Source organism: Homo sapiens, chromosome 2 (genome assembly GCF_000001405.40).
Source record: "Homo sapiens chromosome 2, GRCh38.p14 Primary Assembly".
Taxonomy (NCBI): domain Eukaryota; kingdom Metazoa; phylum Chordata; class Mammalia; order Primates; family Hominidae; genus Homo; species Homo sapiens.
This window is the reverse complement of record NC_000002.12, coordinates 153,860,483-153,884,387: the sequence shown is the minus strand read 5'-3', so window position 1 is coordinate 153,884,387 and position 23,905 is coordinate 153,860,483. Positions and strand designations below refer to the sequence as shown.

The 23,905-nt window shown below is 37.8% G+C and overlaps 1 protein-coding gene across 18 annotated transcripts in view; it reads right to left on the bottom strand.

The window, feature by feature from the left end:
* GALNT13 (polypeptide N-acetylgalactosaminyltransferase 13) overlaps positions 1-23,905 on the bottom strand; it is a 1,388,282-nt gene that overhangs the window by 572,187 nt on the left and 792,190 nt on the right. For 7 of the 18 annotated variants that reach the window (XR_007069045.1, NM_001376394.1, NM_001376404.1 and 4 more), the window contains exon 1: positions 12,085-12,466. The exons of 5 other annotated variants lie outside the window; for them this stretch is intronic. The gene's annotated coding sequence lies outside the window, so the exon portion shown is untranslated. Of the gene's footprint in view, positions 1-10,787; positions 12,467-23,905 lie in introns of those variants that run through there. 6 more of the 18 variants (NM_001376402.1, NM_001376401.1, NM_001376403.1 and 3 more) reach the window with 4 other exon arrangements.

Genomic DNA, 23,905 nt, shown 5'->3' with positions numbered 1-23,905 from the left:
TCTTTAAATCCCAATATCTTTATGGATTATGATGCCTCCACAGAGAGTGGTTGGAATCTGTGGAAATCTGGGAAGTACACACTCATCGAAGCATAATCACATTTTTTTTTTCAAAAAAATTAAAGCAAGTTTGACCAAGCAAACTCAAAGTAGTTTAGCCATTATCTAAGTCACTTCACATCATATTCAGAACTTCTCTGTATCTTTCCTCCTAATGTAGTCATTATTCCTCTTGTTGGTTATCTTTGTAATTTTAAGGACTATATCAGTGCTATTTCTTATATTAACTATAGACACTATCTCTTGACTCCTATTTTGTGATATGCTACTATTCCAATCCCTAACCTTTCCTTCAACTCTCTCCAGTCCCCATACCTAATTCCCAACCTCAGCCACCTGTATGTTTATCGTGACATTGTCAGTCTTGATAATATTTGCATTTTGTTCTATCACCACAATTATCTTCCACATTTTAAGTAAGATTGACTGAAAATCAATCAAAAGATGAAAATCAGTAAATACCATGTATATTTAATATAAAAATATTATTCATTTTGGAGCCAACTAAAGTCCTATGGTTATTTTCCCTTTTTGCATATTCTTTTGTTTTACCTGACATTTCTACTTTTTTTCTTTGTACATTTTTTGTCTTTTTAAATACTCCTTAAACATTAAATATTCTATAATGTCCCCTTTTTGTCCCAAATCCTCCCACCAACCAAACCCTCCATTTCTTTATACTAATCCTATACCAGGTTGAAACAACACAATTTGTTCACCTTCCTGGACTACTTCACATAGCCATCATGCCATGTCTTTCTGTTTTTCTTAACCATAGTTTGCTGAGGTTCAACCTGGAGTAACTTTTCAAGAAAGGTTATATTTAAAGAAGATAACGTTTGTCTTCATATGTCTTAAAATGTCTTAATTCTACCCTGACACGGGATATTTTGACTGGGTATGGTATGCTGAGTTGTAAATCACCTTTCCTCAGAAATTTGATAATTATCCTCAATTCATTAATGTTGCTCTAACTGTATTTTTTGTTTTCTTACTAGACGTCCAATTAGGAAGTCATGCTTCGTGGAGATTCACTGTGACTCATATTTTCCATCTTGTTTCATTTTTATTAGAATTGATAGATTTTTCTCCATTTAAAATCACAAATTTTCCCTTAAAATATTTGAAAATATTCAATTTCCAAGAGTTTTTCTTACTCATTTAGTGTTCCTTTTCTATATCATCCACTTGTTTTATGAATGCAATATTTTCCTGGATCTTTTCAAGAATTATATATATATATATATATAATATACATATATATGTGTGTATATATAGATATATATATAAAAATAACATATATTTGTCTCTTTTATGGTCCTCTGTGTGTTTCTTGCAAAGTCATTTTGTTGTTACTGGTTTCTTTAACTTGGTCTCTTTATTTTTCATGTTGCAGACGTTCTAAAATTTTTGTTCCTACATTATATCTTAAATGTCTGTGATCCTTGATTGCTGTTTTATGTAGTTAAGAATGAAGGAATACCAGCCTGGGTAGCATAGCAAGATCCCCCATTTCTACAAAATTATAAAAGTTAGCTGGGTGTGGTGAGACATTTCTGTAGCCCTGCTTCCTTGGGAGGCTAAGGCAGGAGGATTGCTTTAGCCCAGGAGTTTGAGGTTACATGTAGTGAGCTATGATCATGCCACTGTATTCCAGCCTGGGCAAGAGACCCTGGCTCAAGAAAAAAAAAAAAAAGTAAAGAATATAAAGGAATAAAAAGTGCAAATCTCTGTGAACTTGAGTGGGTCTTGTTGACTAAAAGACTTTGCTTTAGGGCAAGCAAAAAGCTGATCATTAGGCTTAAAGACTGTAAGTGCCAAAATAAAAGAGGCATTGTTTTTCTAAGACCCATCCTTAGTTGCCCTTGCTGTCCCTTGCTAGTTAGTACATGTTAAGAGTGGATAGTTAGGTGAGTGAGTGAGAAAAACTTACTATAGAGATGTTTACATAGAAAATAGAGTTGTGAATACAAGGCTATTTCATCTATACATGTTTGATAAATTATTTTGTTTTAGCCCCAGACTCTCATTTCTGTTCTTTACTTTTTTCAGCATTATTGAGCCTCAGGCCTTTGGGGGCTTAATATGGGCAGAGTGAATCTCCTCAACTTCAAGCCACCAACCCACCTCCCCCTGCCTCGACCCCCCCCTACATTCTAGGCAGTTTCCTTTGCCTTCCTTTACTCTCTACAATTTGTAATAGTTTTATAACTTTTAATCCCTCCATTTAATGCTTGACTTAATGAGTTTTCAGGAGATAGTTTAGATAAAAATAGTTCTTATTCCTTCCTCTTAAAATGGATACTCATCTATTGAAAACGAAGAAGCTATACTTTAAAAAGTCTAAATGAAAAAAACCCAAGAGCCAACAAAATTATTACACTATTGCATGTCACCATAATCATGATAGTAATAATGTTCTTCAGAATGATTCAAATAAGGATCTCTGTTGAGATAAATGTGAATTGCCCATCTGCACAGACCTTAAGGGACACAGGGTAAAATTGATACTACTGATTTCATGTTTGAAATGCCTTATATCCTGTTCTGTTTGTGGAAAATGAGAAAACTGATTAACATTTGCAAAAAAAGATTAATTGAAGTTCAAAATTATTTGAGATATTTGCAAATATTTTACATTTGTGGAAGTTAGTTTTCCTTACAAAAGGAATGGAAATGATGTATACATGTTATCCCACTTGAATTAGCATTTTATATAGATAATAAGAATTTGTGCATTGTAGAAGCAAAAATGGGCCTATTGTTGTCTGCAACAGCAAATGAAGTGTCTCATAACTAGCAATTCAATGTGTTAATTCAGCTGTACCATCCAATTACCTACAATTCATCTCAACTTTAGTGCACAACAATAAAAGTCTTTTAAAAATTTTTGACAAAATGTCTGCTCTAGGTTACCAAAATAGAGGAAATACTATCCATAAGTCTGACAGTGGGTACCACAGAATATAAATTGTTAAAATTATTTATCACAGCCTATCAATATCACAATGATTTTTGATGTGAAGTCAGTAATCTAGCATAAATAATGAACCATATATTGGTTGTTTTATTTTTAAAAAGTCTGACCAAGTAATGTGAGAACCGTGTGGCAAGTGAAATTGGCATCCCCTCAAATAACACGGCATTCCTTTGGAGCCATGGCCTGCCACCTGCCAACTGACCACAGGGCCCAAGCACACAACTCTAAAAGTAGACAAAGGTAATGAGATGCAAATTTAGCATCCCCTTCCACCTGTTAAATGACCTAGATGCAAGAGCTATAGTGTCTCTTACCTATTCAGAAACTAAATGATTAAATGAACAGCCTTTTTTAATTTCCTTTTTTGTTTTTTGTTTTGTTTTGTTTTGTTTTACCAGAATCAAGGAAACCAATACATAGTTCAGTCTGGCTACATGAAGATTTATTAAGTCATAAAAGAGAGACAATTTAAAGCAAAAAGCACCATGAAGAAGAATGGAAAGAAGAACAAAGAACAAGATATGGAGCAAAGAAAAAGAATACTAAAAAATAATAAATACAGTATTTACCTTAAGAAAAAAATCAAAAGGTATGCTTAAAATCTATAACATATGAATAAAATCTGCACCATATTCAGTGACAGACTGTTTCTAATATTTTTCAGGACAAGTGATATATAATCCTATTTGAGACTGAATGATCAAGAGAATCGAAGAAATATAAGTCTCAGGAATCCTGGTGAAATTTGCTATAAGAAAAAGAGAAAAGATGGTAGTGAGTCTTGAAAGTAGAATAGTCAGTAACCCCATAAACCCTTAAATCATTTACTGAATTGGAAATCACATTGTTTCTAAATGCCGATTTTTAACTCTTTTTTAAACCACACAAGTGGAATGACTCATTATTGGGGGTTTAGAATTCAAATAATTTACATAATTTAATCAAACATCGGTCTAAAATAAAATTCATTTTAAAAAACACCAAAGAAAAGCCATTTTACAAGATTATTTTAGTGTATTAAACAAAAATATTAAATAACAGAAAGGAGAAAATGTACTTTGTTAAAGATCAATACATCAGTTTTCACAAGTGATTATAAATTACAAATATTCCATCTTATACAAAGCTTACAAAAATTATTGAGAAAAAATCCATAAATTTAGGTAGAATTTCCCCAATCCTTCCATAAATATGAATATTTCCTAATGTAACTTAAAGATCTTATGAGGAGCATTACAGGAAAATAAATTGTTTCTTATTTAGTATAAAGATGTAAATCTTAGTTACGTATTTGAAGTATATATGGTTATTTTGTTATGGATTGAAACAAACAGCTGTTTATTTTCCAAATCTTTTAAAAATATTCTTGTCTGCAACATTATGTATTACTGATTATTAATATTGTTTTGGTCTAATTAGAGGCCAAGTCAATGATGACACTACTTGAGGAAAACCACTCTGATTTTTCCATGTTTACTATCCCATTCATAATTATATTTATTTATCTGGTGCAACAACTTCTAAAATATAAACTTTTTAAAAATTTTCCAACTCGAGAAATATCAGCTTTTCTTCCTTCACTTTCAAAGGCAAAACTTACTCAAATAGGGAAAAGACATAGAAATCTGTGTTCTGTTTTCAATTCTGCTACTTCAAGTTTTGTGGCTCAAAGCACGGCCAGGATCAGTGGCTCATGCCTGTAATCCCAGTACATTGGGAGGCTGAGGCGGGAGGACTACTTGAGGCCAGGAGTTTAAGACCAGCCTGGGCAACATAGTGAGACTCTGTCTCTACCAAAAAAAAAAAAAATTAAAAATTAGCCTGACATGGCAGCACATGCCTGTAGTCCTAGTTACTTGGGAGGCTGCGCCAAGGGGTTTAAGGCTACAGTGAACTATAATTGCACCACTGCACTCCAGCATGGGTAACAGAGGCAGACTCTGTCTCAGAACACACACACACATGCACACACACACACACACACACACACGTAGGTAGTTTTAATTATTTTATCAAAATTAACATCATCCTTGCCCTTCCACTGATCTTCTTACACTGGCCAACTTACTTAACCTTTCTGTGACTCACTTTCCTTGTCTCTAAAATAAGAATACTAATAAAATCTACTTTTGAAGGTCTTTATGATTAAATGAATCAATATCTGCAAAGCACTTAGAACAACTCTGGGGCATAGTAATTGCTGTGTTTTGTTAAATAAATCTGTTAAGTGATATACTACAAGCAGATTAGTTGCTTGAAATGTCACTGCACCTCAGAATCACATAGGAAAATGTGCATAAAGGTAGATTCTGTGGATCCATCCCAGTTAAATGAGACTCTGTATCAGTGGGACCTGAACACCTGTAACTACAATGAATAAATAAACTCAAGGTAATTTGGATTTACAACCTGCTTTGGTAGAAATGAAACTAATGTCTTAGGTCAATTTAGCCACATTTCACACACTCCACCAGTATTCTTTTCCTCTTTGATGGCCCAAATAGACACTATCTAAAGCAACCTGGGATGTAAAACCAACCACCAGTTTTACAAGAGCACTAACCAAACCTGCTTCACTTTCGCCAAGGCAAAGAAGTAAAAATGGAGCAAACTGACCCGTACAAGTTGGGATGTGTTTTTTGGAGGGAAGATGGAGAAATTAGTTCTGACAAGCTCTTTTTGTCATTGCCCAATATTCATTTCCAATCCCAGGACACAGAGTGGCACCATCTTAGTGTCAGTAAATGGCAGTTAACTACCAAGAAGGAACAAGTCATCCCTAATCTTCCAATCATTTCAACAAACATTAACACAGTAAACTAAGGCTAAAGCAAGTGCTAGCATCTTTCCTAGGTCCAAATTTTATTTGAAACTAGGAAGAGAATGGAATAAGCTATAAGCATTATGTCATCAAGTCATGAATATGATGACCATGCCGGCCAGAGCTGTGTGGGTGCATAGAGTAGGCAGCATATCACAGTGGTTCAGAGTAAGATGGGCATCCAAGCACAATCTACGGGAAATTTTTTGTGATGAAATTTTCATCAGTCTTGGGTGAAATTAGGAAAATGAGTACAATGTGGAAAAATGTACAGGGAGCTTAATTTATTCTCTTTAAATAACTATTATTTATTTTGAGATTCAGTTCTTCCATGTTATTTGGTGTTAAAATATCCACTTTTATAAAATTGAGATGATAGAAGTAGACTTTTTCAATCATTCTTACTATACAAAAGAAAATAATCACATAAAGTTTACCACTTGATTTTTTTAAATTATCAGTCAGTGAAAATGTCAGACTGAGAACTATTAGATTATTGGCTTCAAGGCAGAATAAACTGGTGTCATCCTTGATGCTCACACATATTAGCTGTGTGATTCTGAGGTGATGCCTCATTTATACAATGGCAACAGTAACATACTATTACTCATATTGTTGTTATAAAGATAAAACATGTTAAGACCTGCCAGATGTTTACTTACCACAGTACAAATACAAAGTAAACAACCAACGAATTTTAGCCACTTTATCAATTTATAACCCAATACACCATCTTACCTTCTTCATAAATAAGCTGGAATGGATACACCTTTACATATATTTTATTCCATTTTTCTTTCTTTAAACTAATGGTTGTATTTCATTGGGGTTTTGATAGTCATATAAATCTCACCTTCTCTATCTGAAACTAATTATATAATAATAATCTCAAGAGGAAATTAAGTCAGTTATTATGCTTCTAAGCTACATAATCCTCCTCATATGTCAAAATCCACTTTATTAACAAAAAAGAGGTGCTTTGCTTGTAATATCAAGGCAATTAATATAAGACAAGAGACTAAGTTGACATTTACTACTATCTTCAAGATGTTATTTGGATGATTTTTGATTGTGCTATGCTTTTAAATTCTTCTTTCTGTTTACAGTGGCTACTCACCACATGCATTACGTTCACCAATGTGTCAACAAGCAGATTAATCACACTCTTCCTAAAATGTTGTATAAGAGCTTAAATAAGATTTAAGTGACAATTCAATGTAGTGGAATATATGAAACAGAGTCCCAATTAATTCCTCTTCATGTTAAAACCTTAACATGATATATCTTGCACAGCCCCCATCTATCTTAACAATGAGCATATCTTTAAAAAATATGAAAGAAATCTAAGTATTTATTATGGACATTGTATTTAATTTTCTCACATAGTCTACAAGATGATAACAAATATGTTCATATCTATGGTAATAATAGTCATTCTTCTCCCTACATCCCTCTCAAACTATCTTGAGAGGATTAACCATTAACCTGGAACAATTTTTAATAACTGATATTTTGAATTGTGTTTGAGTTCATTTCTGAAGGGTAGGTAATTATGGTAGTGTACACATTAAGAGAGAGCCTGACAGTTCATGAGGACTCTAATTACGTGGACATTGAATGAAGTTGAGCCCTTAAAGGAAAAGCATGTCTCCCAACTTTAACTTAACAATTTAAATTTTAGATCCCATCAATCTCTGCAGTGATAACTTTTAAAAATTAAGAATTTCATTTAAATGTATAAGTCTAAAGACATACTAAAAACAGCTTGAAAAACTCATAGCTATAAATGAATTTAAGGACATGAGAGCACACAGTAATCAGAATCACACAGATGTCTTTAGCCACCTGTAATCATTTCTTGGTAATCAAGCTAACACCAATTAAATGTATTATAATAGATACACTACACTGAAAACACAGACACAGGTCTAAATATGAAATCAAGAAGAAACAAATATCAAGTGATTAAAGTCTGTTTGGTTTACACTGCTCCTCCCAAAAACTAGATATAATTGTTTATAATGCCCCAAACGGATGACTATTACTGAATTAAATGTATTCATTTTCATAAATTTCCTTGAAAAGCTAAATTTCACAATGAAAAACCAGACTTTTCAAACACAGGTATGCATATATTTGAATGGCAGAAGTCCTTCAACAATGTGCCTTGATAGAAATTGTAAACAGAAGTCTAATCTGATAAAATAATAAATGGTTTATCAAAGCAGACAGTGCCAGATCTTTAAATGTGATTTACGTTTTCAAACATATGCTTAGCCACTGTGTGTGTATGTGTGTGTGTGTGTGTGTGTGTGTGTGTGTGTAGTGTGGGGGGGTTGCTGTTAGAAATGTCATTAAATAGGTTGTCAGAATAAATATGAGTATATATATGTAGGACTTGATTTGATGTTTCACATGTGTTTATTTTGATGACAAGAGCAGAGGGAAGGATTTAGAACCAAAGCCCAGTTTAAATCCTTTGATAATTAGGCATATGGTCATTCAGACTTCAAAGCAGTGATCCTGTTAGATCCCATTAGATTTAAGATGTCTACATGTTCCTTCTGACAGGGACACAAATACAAGAAGGTGATGTACTAAGAGTCGCTGTCAAGAATGTGTTGTTTGTTGCAAGAGGTTTCTCTTTAAAATATCATGTCTAATAAGGCAAATTAGTTAAAGGTCATAACTATATGAAGTGTCCATTTTTAAAAGGACAATGAACACCTAACAGAGATATGTAGCATTATAATTTATTTTAGACAGTAAGGCTTAATTCTATTCCTACTTTATTCTCAAGCATTTTCTCGACTGTTATTATTCAGAAACACCAGGATTCTCTTCATCTGCCCATTCATAAAGAATAAAAATACCCATTTGTTACTGTTACTTCTTATCTCACCCCTTTCCTAAAATCCCGAAGTCTTTATAAGCTGTACAAGCTCTATTACATGAAAATGCTCCTGTTACAACTACTATTTCTAGAAATCAACTTGGCATGATAACAACATAGTTCACTCTGACATAACTGTTTAAACTGAAATGACTGCCCAGTAAGTTAAAAAGTTAGATGCATAAGTTAAACCTGTAAAACAAATAGAAGGTCTCTCAAACAATATCAGATTTTCCACCTTCATTATGTCTTTGCTATTTTTAAATATAAAAATTGGGTACAGTATCAAGTGATTTATAAATAATATTTTTAAAGAAAAATTGCTTTGAACATGCTCCTGCACCATACTCATGATAAATTAGCAACTATTTTAAGAGGTGACTAGCATATCATCAAGAAAGTAGTATTGCTGCCCATGGATTTCTATTATTACTTTGAATTAGGAGGCATTATGTTTCCAGGTACTTTAGGAAATTCTCACATTCATGCAGTATCGCACATCTCATATATATATATATATATGAAGCAGTAGGGGAATCCATAAATTATTTAGGGTAAGTGATCCAGCTTACAGATCAATATATAGCCCCCAAGTATTTTAAGCTGATATATCTGTTCTTTATATTAAAAGAGAGAACTTTTCACTTGTTAGAAACCACATGAAAGTATTCACCCAAAAATGATGCCATGTCCCAACTTACTTTCAGGTAAGGAGATTGAGAGATGCCACATTTCAGGGCCCCTCTAAACTCATTTCTTCAATTCTGCAATGACTGTGTTAAAGAACACCAGCCAAGTTGTAGACTTGCAAAAAGGGGCAAATTCAAGCAATAACATGAACTACAAAGAAGCAGAAGACCCCTGTTTCAATATCCCTTCTACTAGTTCTCAATTACCATTCATAAAAAATCTAAATGAAACCTCCCAAAAAAGGAGCGGGGAGGTGGAATTTAGCTGCAGGCTCCTTAGCATACCTGGTAACTTGGAAGCCTATGATCCGCTGCATGCTAATCAATCAACCAACAAGTTTTATTAAGCACTTACTAGTTTCCCCACACTGTCCTAGGGACTACATATCTGAGACAGCCTCCATTCTCACATTCCCACTCAGGACTTTCCGAACTGGAATTAATCTATACCAGCAGTACCCTATAATTCCTTTAGAAAAGCTTTCTATTCTTCCTCTCCAAAGCGGATCCGAGACACAGTGCCCCTACTTAAGCAAGTACCTTAAGCCCTGGAATGGGATAAGCATCACAGAAATGGTGAAATAAAAGCATTTATTTAAACAAGCAGAAGCAGCCAGGAAAATTCTCCATGGAATTGAAGGTGGATAGGGGCTAAAGGAGAGATGTGAAATCCTGGTTTATGGCAAACAGTGCAGAGAAATGCATCTTTTTAATGTTCAAAGTCTGCCTTAGGCTACGCAAATTCTCCAGACCTATCCAATTCCCAAATCAAACGAACAGGGTTTCAATATGAAGGTTCTTATTCTGCAGGAGACGTGGGGAAAGAAAAAAAAAAAAAAAACAGAGATTGCGGGAGGGGGGTGCGGGGGGAAAGAAAGATTAGTAATGTAATGCAAAAGTCATTCTTTGAGGAAAAGGAAAGGATGCGTGTAATACAAGGAGAATTATCCCGGAAGGTGAGAGGTCCAAAAGTAAATAACCAATAGGTTGACCTTACTTTTCAATATTCTCGAACCAGCAGGTTTCTTTAACACTAGAGGGCATGAACGCAAACGAGACAGAGAGAGAGAGACAGGGAGACAGCGAGAGAGAGAGACACAGAAAAAGAGAGAGAGAGAAAGAGAGAGAGACGGACTGAGACTCTGAGGAAAGGCAGCTTTCACATAAAGCTGAAAATATTCAAGGATACCAGAAATTTCAAGGGGGCTTTGGCAGCCAAGTGCCTTTAGCCTTGCGAATAAAACCTCTATGTTGTTATGTTGTTTCAGGGAAGGCTGACCACGATCTCTCCAAGGAAACCGCTTTCCTAAGCAATGAATGCATGGTAGTTTAAGGCAGGCATACCTCAGTCCCCAAAGCTCCTCTCCTCTGCTAGCAACACCTTTGCCTGAAGAAAGCTCCCACCCTTTCGAGGTTAGTTTCCCTGAACCCCAAAGCATCTATGTTTGCCTGCTCACTGTCCGTTCTTCTGCAGCTGGCTATAAAGGTTGGGGAGGCAGACTCTCCTCCTGGAAATTCAACTAACCATAGTCAAAGAATCGGGTATGCGGGAGGGGCTTGCGCAGCTTTCGCTGTCCAGAGTAGCAGCCTCAGTGCGCTCAGGTTCGCAGCAGCGCAGCGCCCTCGGACCCGGCAAGGGGAGCCTGCTGCGGTGCCCTCCACTCTAACCCCTTGCGCCCCTCCTTCAGGTCCACGACAGCCTGGACAAGGGCAGGCTGTCTCCTCCGCGTCCCCACTGACCCCGCAGGAAAATCTCTGCACCTGGAGATACCCATTAGATGCGCCAGGGCTTGCTCCCCTAACCAAGGCGCTTCGGGATCGCGGGGCTGGTGTTCGGGAAGACGGGGCAGAGAGATGACAGAGGGAGACAGAGATAAGCTGCGAGAAGCAGACACAGAAAGAGAACAAATGTTGCAAAACGGAGAGACAAAAGGAAAGACAGATTAACAGGGACACAGATATCCCAAGAAAGAAAGAGGGAAACAGAATAAGAGAAAAAAACAGATACATGGCCGGAGAGTGTGGACTGAGGGGACCAAGGCTCAGAAAGAGAAACAGAGGCAGAGACACACACGGCGAGAATGAGAGGCAAGAGGACTCTGAAAAAGCGAGGCAAAGGGGGCACTATACGAAGGCAACCGTCGAGGAAGACACCCAAGACCCAGGGAGCGCCTGGTGTCGGGTCGAGTAGAAACGCCCGCAACGCAGCCGGGGCTGCCTGCAGCTGGTGCGAGAAAGTTGTCTGGGCTTGGAGGCCGAGCCACCCCCGCGGAGGAACGTCACCAGAACGCAGAGGGGGCCAGAGCCGCTCCCCCCCCCCCCCCCGCCACCAACAACTCACCGGGGTAGCCAGAAAAGCAGAGCAGAAGGTGGGCGGCGGCAGAAAGTTCCGCGCCACGCGGTCCTCCCGCAACACCTGCAGCCCCGCAAGCGAGCGCACTCGGAGCTCCCGGGAGGCCGCGTCGCCAGGTCCGCCCGCGCCCCTGCCTTTGCCCTGGGACCGGCCCGGGGCGCTCGGCTCCGCGCCCCGGCACTCGCCGCGGGACTTTGCGGCACCTAGCCCCGGCACTCTGGCAGCCCAGAGGGAGCTCGTCCCAGACAATCAAGAGGAAAAGAGGGGAAGCGAGAAAGAGACGGAGACCTGCTATCCTGGCCAACGATCCCGCGAAGAGGGAACGGCGGTCCACACACGGGATTCAGCCTCAGATCAAGCCCAGCAGGCGCCGGCCGGCCGCGCCGAGTGCGGGGCTCGCCGAGTCCGCGCTCACCTGGAACCCGCGCCGGCCCGCGAGCGCCGCGCGCAGCCCCGGCTCCCGCCCGCGCCTCTCTCTTCACACTTGCCCGCGAGCAGAGGGAGCCGGCTCCAGCCTCGGCCAGCCCCAGAGAGGGGCCTTCATAGCGCAGCGGCGGGCTGAAGGGCTCCTCGAGCGCGGCCAGAGCGGACGCTGAGGCCGAGGAGGCGCCCAGAGCGAGCGAGGGCTGCTAGCACGTTGTCACCTCAGCAGAGCCGCCGCCGCCTGGTCACTTCTCCCCGGCCCCCGCCCCCCTCCCACCCCAGCCCGCCGCCTCCCGGTCCCTCCTCCTCGCGTGGTCCCTCCTCCTCTCGTAGCCCCAGCCTGGAGGCCTCTCACTGGGCTAGTATCATTTACGTAACCAGCACCCCCAGCCCTCCTCCCTCCCTGCTCCCGCTCCTCCCCGGGCTGGGGCGGTGCGCACCGAGCGCGCTCCAGCTGCTTCTGGAGCTGGCGCTTCTGCGATGTGCGCAAGTCCCGCGATACTTGGCAGGCACGGCCCCCAAGAGCAACCCTGGGGTCAGCTCCTCTCGCCGGAGGGCGCCTCGCGACCCCTGGCCGCTTTGGGGCCCCACAACGCCAAAGCCGGCCTGCGTGCACCGCGTTCGCCCAATGCACCAGGGAGCCTCTTAGAGGGGAGCTGGAGGATCAGAGACTGCCCTCGGGGAAAGCGCCGGCAACCCCACCCTTGCCGTCGGCTCTCCAGCCGAGAGATGCTGCGGGGTACTTGACGCTTCGGCGCCCTCCGCAGAAAGGACGGAGGTTGGCCTCTTGTTGGTTACAGTATCTACACCCTGGCAGGATCCTAGTGTTCTGGTTGGCGGTGACTACTGCCACCGAACGCACTGTAAGAGTACTGGAAACACAGAGCGCTTCCTTGTGGCTCTCAAATTTTTATGAAGAGGTAAAGAAAAAAGTGGGGCTTTGAATTCCTTTCTCAGGCAAGTAGGTATGATATTAAACACACACCCACTCCGAAGTACCTGGACGTATGAATGTCTCAGTTAATGTGTTGTACCAATACCCCCATGGTACTGAGTTTAAATACATGTAAAGATTTTAGAACAGTGCCTGGCACAAGGCAGAAACCTAAGACGCAGACATTATTAGCGTCTCAAAGACTTGGGACCTGTCCCCCACTGCCATGGGAGAGGAACTTTTCTAGGAAATTGGGATTGCCGAGTTCAAGTGCCTGCTTGGCAATTTATTCACTGTGGCTCTTGGCTAGTTTTGGCCCTTCGGGTGTCAGTTGTCTTGTTTGTAATAAGGGCTGACAGGGGTCCTTGCTTCTCACAGTGTCACTTCACACATCTTATAGGATGTTTTTGGCAGAATTGGGGGAGGATATAACGACTACATAAAAATATTAAACAGCCACGTTTGACAAACATATGATACTATTAATCATAATCTAGTATGTCAATGCCATTCTTGATTATACTCATGAAAGGCAATTTCCAGAGATATTATCTTTATATCTTTTCGTGAGTCAAGTATCATTTAAATTTCTATGTTAATAACTGTATTAATGTCTCCTCCTACATTGTCCATCCTGCCCTACCGTCAATTATGGAGCATTTACCAGAGATGCTTCTGTGCATGTGTGAGTACACAGGGTCCCACTCATAACACTCTGGAATGTCTCTCTACTGCTCTCTCTAGTGAATTCCAGTCCTAACATCAGGTCACTCACCTCTACATGGCATACTGAGAAAAACTGTGGACCAGGTAAAAGATTGGGGTTCTGATGCTGATACAGCTACTTACTAGTCCTATGTTTTTCAAAGACAAATAAGCCCCCATTCTTACATGTTTCATCTCTTAAAAAAAGGCGCAATTCCATTTTGCAGTCTTTGTGATAATATTTAACTTAGGCAGAATCATAAACTTGGTAAAATTTATTTGGGTAATTGGATATTTACGTAGTCCCAAAGTATCACCCTAGAAAGTATTGGCTTTTGGTGCATAACACACCATTCCAAAACTTATTAGCCCCAACCAATAAACATCTGTAATTTCTCAAAGCTCTGTGGGTTGTCAGGTTGGTTTCTGCCCTGGCTAGCTCAGTTTGGTTTAGAGATCTAGGATGGCTTCACTCACTTGTCTGGTGTGGCATACTTATTAGTCTTGAGGGTGTGGGACTCAGCTGCAATGTTTTGTCTTTTGTTTAATCTAGCCCATCATCCTTCAATAGGCTAGCAGTAGTCGTAGTTGCAGGGCTCCAAAAAGCAACAAGGGAGTGCAAGCTCCAATGTGAAGTACTCTGAGATTCTGTGGACGTACATTTGCTGGTGTCTCATTAGCCATGGAAGTTACATGGCCCAAACATAGATAATATAGTCCATGTCTTGATGGGAGAAACTATAATGCCATATTTCAAGGAGAATGCATACACAAAAATAACTTGAGGCTGTTTTTATAATATACTATAGATCCTTAATTACAAACGAATAATAAATTACATGTAGTGGATAAATCTGGTAAACATCACCTTAACCAACTGACCAAGGTTAAAGTCACCAATAATGGGACCAAGTGATATCATGAGCCTCATGATATGATGCACTGAGAAGTACATAACATTATTGATTTAGGATTCCAGATTAAAAAATGCATAATTGAATGCAATCACGAGAAAGCAAAGAAAGCCTTAAATTAAGGAAAATTCTACACAATATCTTGCCTATACTTTTCAAAAATGTCACTGTGATGAAAGTCAAAGAAAAGCTGAGGAAATATTCCAGACTAATGGAGATTTAAAAACCATGACTACTAAATGCAATGTGTAATCCAGAATTGGAGAGCAAACTGGGAATAATATCTATTAATATAAAGAGCATTACTGAGACAATCTAATTCAAAATATTAATAAAAACTATAATATCTAAACTGTATGACTTTTATTTATAATCAAATTAGTTTTATATCAATATTAAGTGTCCTAATTTAATTGTATTGTGATCATATATAAGAAAGCCCTGGATCTTTAAAAAATATAATAAAATATTTTGCAGTAAAAAGAACATAGAGGTTGTAAGGTCCAGAAATACCTATAGAGAGAATGATGATGCAAATGTGGCAACCTTTTATAACACCATTGGTAAATTTTGGTGAGGGGTATGTGTTAATTCTTTGTAGTAATTTTGCAATATTTCTTGAAGTTTAAATACTTTTTTAAAAATCAGGTAGTTATCATTATTTACCTCATAAGAATAATAACCACAATAATTTATCTGAATGAGTGTTGAAAGTTATTAAAAAGTCATATTTTTTCAAACAGAAAGTTTGGCATTTATCTTTAATCAAAGTGGAGCTATTGCAAGTATTTGCTTAGATAAATGGTAAGACCAATACTGTACAATTCTTGGCTATAAGGCCAATACAAGGGCTACCAGGCCAAGAATGTCTATTGGCCAATATAAGGCCAAATGTATAGGGCCTTAGCTACAGAGTATACAAAAGACAGGGATATGAGTTTAGCAGCTACAATTGTCCATTATGTGATTAACCAAGGCGCTCATTCTAAAGGGAAATAAAGGGTGAGATAGTTATGTCTTGCTGAAATTAAATTACCAGGTTTTGGCAAATTATTAGGAATGATGGATAAAGGAAAATGTATTATATAACTTTAAGAGATTAAGATTGGATGAGTAGGATGATGGAGATGCCATTATTAAGGGACACTGAAAGCAATAACTTTATTTTCTAAAATGAAATCTAATAATATTTTCTTCTAATTATAACATTTAAGTGGCTTCTCATTGATTTTAAGAAATTGTCTAAAATCTCTAACATGCCCTATAAGAACCTTTATACTCTGGGGCTCTGCTTACCTCCTTTGTACTTACAATGAGCTAAGCACTGCAATAGGTTTTGAAGACAAAGAGGAAAGTAAAGACAGCCTGCACAAAACTTAGGGTTCAGTCATACATCCCATGAATATACATTGAGCACTTACAGAATGACAGTTATTTACTAGGAACTGGGAATACAGCAGTGAGCTAAGGCTAATGCTCACTGCTATATTCCCAGTGCCTACCAGTGAGAAGAAGAAAATGCCTAGCACTGTCTAGCAGTGAGAAAAAAGATATAGATCCTGCCTTCATGAATACTACATTTTGCTGAGGTATGTCCTAACCCAAAGGTCTGCAACCCCCGAACCACAGACCTATGGCAGTCCATGGCCTGTTAGGAACTGGGCCACACAGAAGGATATGAGGGATGGGTGAGCCAGTGAAGCTTCATCTGTATTTATAGCCACTCCTCATTGCTCACATTACTGCCTGAGCTCCACCTCCTGTAAGATCAGCAGCAGCATTAGATTCTCTTAGGAGTGTGAACCCTATTGTGAACTGCACATGTGAGGGAACTAGGTTGTGCTCCTTATGAGAATCTAATGCCTGATGATCTGTCACTATCTCCCATCACCCCCAGATGGGACCATCTAGTTGCAGGAATACAAGCCGAGGGCTCCCACTGATTCTACATTATGGTGAGTTAGATAATTATTTCATAATATATTTCAATGTAATAATAATAGAAATAAAGTACACAATAAACGTCATGTGCTTAAATCATCCTGAAACCATCCCCTCTCCCAGTCTGTGGAAAAATTGTCTTCCACAAAACTGGTCCCTGGGGCCAAAAATGTTGGGGAGGGCTATCCTAACCAAATAAATAAGTAGGTGTGTATTTACGTCAGGTGATAATAAATTCTAGAAGAAAATTGAAATAGGCTAAGAGTTGAGCTTTTCAACTCATGCACCACAAATAGTTTATAGATATGCCATAACATATCGATCACTACACCCATCAGAAGTAGCCAAGTAGTGTAGCCTCAAGTTGCTAGGGCCCGTAATTAGATAGCCTGGATCATAAGAAACTTGATAAGAGCTTCTTGGAGAATGGCCTGCATGTGCAGTTCAAAGTATAGCCCATTGTGGGTGGGAAAGCAAGGAGGTTGGGCAGAAACTGCTAGTGGGAATAGCTCCAGCTAATAACACAAAGATTTAGCAACATAAAGATTAAGTAATTCTATTTCATATATAGTTGATTTGTTATTTTAGTGGTAACCATGTCAGCTGCAGATTGACTGTTCTTATAATGCACGGGCATTCTTCATATTCAAGCTTTATCATTATGTTGAATAGATTTGATAAAATCCATGGATAGCCACAAAAAAATTTGAATCAATTAATGAAAGAAAAGTAGAGATGATATATTTTAAATAAGATTTTAACTGATGTAAATATTTGGTCATAGAAGCAAATGTTTACAATCTTTCTCACCTATACTTGTGCAGACAAATTTTCTCATCATTTATGATGATAAACCTATTACACAATCATTTAAAATGTCACAATCAGTAAATAATATAGCTACTTCAAGCATAAAATCTTTTGTTAAAATGTTGACTTTATGAAAGCAATATCTCATTAAAAGTTTTAAAGTTTTATTTGTTTTATTTGGAAGTCTTATGATTCAATATATCTTATTATTATAGGTTTTGTAACAATAATTTCATGACATGAAGAAAGTATAATTAGTTTTAAACTAAGCTTTATACTAATACACTCAAATTTGCTCTAGTTTATCTTATTATCCATAAAGCCTTATATCATCTGTCATTTGCACCAAACACAGTGGCAAATTTACATTTTTCCATGACGGTGATTTGTATATATTTTCTCCACTATATAGTAGGATATATGAGAGCAAAAAAAATAGATTTATTTGTTTATAAAGGGAGGTGGTTGTTGTAACTTTATTCAAAGCACAGTGCCTTTCGTACAGTAAATTCCTGTTGAATGGATAAATAAATCCAACCATTTATTTTTTTTTATTATACTTTAAGTTTTAGGGTGCATGTGCACATTGTGCAGGTTAGTTACATATGTATACATGTGCCGTGCTGGTGCGCTGCACCCACTAACTCGTCATCTAGCATTAGGTATATCTCCCAATGCTATCCCTCCCCCCTCCCCCCACCCCACAACAGTCCCCAGAGTGTGATATTCCCCTTCCTGTGTCCATGTGATCTCATTGTTCAATTCCCACCTATGAGTGAGAATATGCGGTGTTTGGTTTTTTGTTCTTGCGATAGTTTACTGAGAATGATGATTTCCAATTTCATCCATGTCCCTACAAAGGACATGAACTCATCATTTTTTATGGCTGCATAGTATTCCATGGTGTATATGTGCCACATTTTCTTAATCCAGTCTATCATTGTTGGACATTTGGGTTGGTTCCAAGTCTTTGCTATTGTGAATAATGCCGCAATAAACATACGTGTGCATGTGTCTTTATAGCAGCATGATTTATAGTCATTTGGGTATATACCCAGTAATGGGATGGCTGGGTCAAATGGTATTTCTAGTTCTAGATCCCTGAGGAATCGCCACACTGACTTCCACAATGGTTGAACTAGTTTACAGTCCCACCAACAGTGTAAAAGTGTTCCTGTTTCTCCACATCCTCTCCAGCACCTGTTGTTTCCTGACTTTTTAATGATCGCCATTCTAACTGGTGTGAGATGGTATCTCATTGTGGTTTTGATTTGCATTTCTCTGATGGCCAGTGATGATGAGCATTTTTTCATGTGTTTTTTGGCTGCATAAATGTCTTCTTTTGAGAAGTGTCTGTTCATGTCCTTCGCCCAGTTTTTGATGGGGTTGTTTGTTTTTTTCTTGTAAATTTGTTTGAGTTCATTGTAGATTCTGGATATTAGCCCTTTGTCAGATGAGTAGGCTGCGAAAATTTTCTCCCATTTTGTAGGTTGCCTGTTCACTCTGATGGTAGTTTCTTTTGCTGTGCAGAAGCTCTTTATTTTAATTAGATCCCATTTGTCAATTTTGGCTTTGGTTGCCATTGCTTTTGGTGTTTTGGACATGAAGTCCTTGCCCATGCCTATGTCCTGAATGGTAATGCCTAGGTTTTCTTCTAGGGTTTTTATGGTTTTAGGTCTAACGTTTAAATCTTTAATCCATCTTGAATTGATTTTTGTATAAGGTGTAAGGAAGGGATCCAGTTTCAGCTTTCTACATATGGCTAGCCAGTTTTCCCAGCACCATTTATTAAATAGGGAATCCTTTCCCCATTACTTGTTTTTCTCAGGTTTGTCAAAGATCAGATAGTTGTAGGTAGGCGGCGTTATTTCTGAGGGCTCTGTTCTGTTCCATTGATCTATATCTCTGTTTTGGTACCAGTACCATGCTGTTTTGGTTACTGTAGCCTTGTAGTATAGTTTGAAGTCAGGTAGCGTGATGCCTCCAGCTTTGTTCTTTTGGCTTAGGATTGACTTGGCGATGCGGGCTCTTTTTTGGTTCCATATGAACTTTAAAGTACTTTTTTCCAATTCTGTGAAGAAAGTCATTGGTAGCTTGATGGGGATGGCATTGAATCTGTAAATTACCTTGGGCAGTATGGCCATTTTCACGATATTGATTCTTCCTACCCATGAGCATGGAATGTTCTTCCATTTGTTTGTATCCTCTTTTATTTCTTTGAGCAGTGGTTTGTAGTTCTTGAAGAGGTCCTTCACATCCCTTGTAAGTTGATTATATATCTAGAAAACCCCAGTGTCTCAGCCCAAAATCTCCTTAAGCTGATAAGCAACTTCAGCAAAGTCTCAGGATACAAAATCAATGTGCAAAAATCACAAGCATTCTTATACACCAACAACACACAAACAGAGAGCCAAATCATGAGTGAACTCCCATTCACAATTGCTTCAAAGAGAATAAAATACCTAAATCCAACCATTTATTGATGAACAGTTAAATCTTTCCTTTAAGACTTTCTGTTTTTGATCTTTCCTTCCCCCCATCAGACCTTTTCTCTCCATGTTTTGAATTCTTGATTGGGCAGTAATCACTCCTGTCAAAGAATTAGGAAAAAACAACTAATTTTCAGCCCACAATGATATTTCAGTACCACGGAGAGCAACAAATCACTGCCAACAAAATTTGTGGTAATGCCAGCCTGACTATGTACGCTATTTAGCATTCATTGACAGAGAAAAGTAACTAAATAGAAAGTAGGAAAATATGGAAAAGACTTATTATACTACTGTCCAGAATTCATAAACAGAGATAAGTAACCAGGCAGAAATCAGGACAATGTGGAAAAGTATTGGCATTCAGTTATGGCAATGTGGATTTGCTGCTTTGTAACTTCCGTGTACTTCTGCAAATCAAAAGGCAGATATGAAGTAAAATGTTAAGTGCCATCAGGAATCAATGTAAGAAGCAATTACACATACACAATCTCTCAAGATTTTTTCACTTACATATACCATATGGTCATACCTCTTTTTGAGCGTGAATCCTAGGAAGGTAGAGACTGTATCATTGCTTCACGGGACTGAGTACAATATCTGGCACATAGTACATAGTTATTATTTCGTTAAATATATATATTAAATTACATAATTATGTCAAGCATGTTTCGATTGCTTATTAAAGCTTATGAATAATTCATTAGAATGGCAAAACTGTTTTCATGTTTAAGTATCTAATACTTCACTATTTAAATTTTAAACATGAATGTTTATCAAAAATAGCTCAATAGATAATACATTTTATTGGTTTTCACTTGGACTTTATTTTAAAGCTGTACTTAAAATATCTCCCTCTTATATGCAGCATTTTCTAGTGTGTCTTAATTAGTTGTTTGAGGCTTTACTCATAATTCCAGCATACTAACTATAACAATTACGTCTTTTATCCAACAGATAGGTTATATCTGACTCACTCTAACTTCCTAAGACAATAATTTTACATTTGTGCATTGATGACTTATAGAGTTAGAGTGAGTCAGATATGGGGAACAAAGAAAAGTATGAAAGCCTCTTTTTAAATTTAAATATTTAAAAGGATTCCAAGAATCATATTGGATTTTCATCATAAGCCTTATTTTGCTTCACCTATCTCATTCAAAGTAATTATTTATATGTAACATAATGTACTAAACAAAACTTAAGTGTACCAGACAAGAAAATTTTAAGTAGACAAACTAATACATTATTCAATTTTAACAGAGAAGAAGTAGAAGGTATTAAGTGGAGTGTCACAAATTTTGGTCCTGCATCCCATCTAAATATCTGGTTACGATATGGATAAAATTCACCTATGTGGCCAAATTGATGTGAAGAGGCAATTTTCTCAACATTAAATGAAAAAAGAATGACTCATCCAGTAGGAACAGTTGACTACCATTAACTATGAAGAATTTGGTGAAACTTAGCTAACTAAATAAAGGGATATTCTTTATTTTAAAATATTAGAAGTTCATATTATAGTACAGATTAAATATAAGCATATAACATATTAGAATTTTTCATTAGCCTAGAATGCGTAACAGTCCATTAATTCAGATGTACGTAGTAATTATCTTACGTATATGAAAAGGAACCATACAAATATATATATGCTATAAAATACATCATATGTATATTTCTTTGGAAAATATAAAGCGTTTTACAAATGTAAGGTATAGTAAAATAAGAATAGTATTAAAATTTAACACATAAAAAAGGAAAAATTGTAAAATATTTAAATGATATGCCTAATTTATGAGTGTTAGGAAAGAAATATTAGGGTGGAATATGTAACACTATTTTGAAGTACTATTGCCTTGAAATAGTCATCAGTATAATCCAAAAGCAATGAAATCTATTAGCCATAAACAACATAGTATTATTCTCTCCATGAAGAATTCCATAAACATGAGAATTCACCCTTCACAATTTATAGTATAGGATATTAAGAGTTACTCAAATTTATAAAGAAATAGAATTGAAAACATTTAAGTGTATTTTTGCTCCAAGATACATGAAACAGTTCTGCAAGATTTTTTTCCAGGCCTTTAGTTATATCAACTTGACTGACACCTTTGTGCTGCTTCTCTGAACAAAAGGTTATTATATAAGCATGTGTGTACGTGTGTGTGAATCTTTAAATTGTAGTACAATTTATTTTTAAGAAGCAAATACCCAGAGCTATCTTTCTAAGTGTGTAATTGCTATAAGATTATTGAATTTGAAAAGTTCACTTTTATAGCCACCTCTCATAAAACATACAATAGGACTAAATATGTCATGTGACACATATGTTGTTATATTATCTTTTGGGATTAGAGTGGTTAAAAGTAAAAACTGAAAATAGTACTTCCTCCCCACCAGTCTGCAAACCACGTGAGCCACCATTAGCTAGATTTTAAAAATTGATATAAGACCTAGTGTCATGGCCTCTAGGCATCCATTAAAGAAAGGAGGCTGGGCACGATGGCTCATGCCTGTAATCCCAGTGCTTTGGGATGCTGAGGCGGACAGATCACCACCTGAGGTCTGGAGTTCATGACCAACCTGGCCAACATGGTGAAACCCTCTACTAAACATCTCTACTAAAATCACAAAAATTAGCTGTGCATGGTGGCAGGCACCTGTAATCCCAGCTACTCAGGAGGCTGAGGCAGGAGAATCGCTTGAATCTAGGAGGCAGAGGTTGCGATGAGCCAGGATCGTATGATTGCACTCCAGCCTGGGCGACAACAGCGAAACTCCTTATCAAAAAAAAAAAAAAAAAAAAAAAAGAAAGAAAGAAAAAGAAAAGAGAAAAAATCAGCTTTTAAAAAGCAGAACTTCTACTTTTATTTTCATCATAAACCATAGAAAATAGTAAATGAACAATTATTCTCATTTTCATTCACCAGTCTACACAAAGTTGTCATTTTATTTGTCTAAATACCACATTCCTTCTCAGGCCAAGGGTCCACAAACTAACTGTAGACTTTAAAACAGACATGGAATAAATATCCAATTCTGCCATTTCACAGCTATATGACATTGGGTATGTACCCTCTGAGAAGTAGTTATTTCGTTGGTAAAATAAGTATACACTACATATAATAATAGATATTTTGAGAATTAAATAATGCAGTTTATGGAGGTTCCCTAGTATATTACCTTGCTTAGACTAGGAACTCAGTAAATGGTAGCTATGTCTAAGTCCTTGCATTTTTAAAAGTCACTGCTGTCATTTCCAAAATATAAAAGAGGCTTAAGTTGGATCCAGGAAGCTTTCATGCTCCTTGCTGTGGGGAAAACTTAGGAATAGCAGTCCAGGTGATCAGAACTCTTTAGATACATATCACTGCTCTCACTGCTTTCTGCCTCCTCAAATCCCTAAACTCAGTAATGATCCTAACTTAGAATCAGAATAAACATTGGTACTATGAGAGCTCCTTCTCCTGCTCCTAGACCTAATTACTACTCCTATCATTTGCATTTGTCCTCTGTGTGAGTATCATACACACGATCATGCATCAGCACACATATGCACACAGATTCCCACTTAAAGTGTAAGCCCCAGGGACTTTTGTCACGTTGGTCATAGAAATATCCCTAATAGATAGAATGGAGTGCCTCCCACTTAGTGAGAGCCCGATAAATAGCATGGGTCATCATATAGTTCTATATTTTTGTCTCCTATATAACCACTTTGTAGTTAGGAAGTGATTGCTTCTCTCTGTGGAGAAGACTGGCTTCCCAACAACCACCTGCTGACCCTTCCATAAGCTTTGCATATGGATAGAAGTCAACTGATTTGGTCCTAAATAGTAAAAGAGGATAGAAGTCAACTGATTTGGTCCTAAATAGTAAAAGAGGAT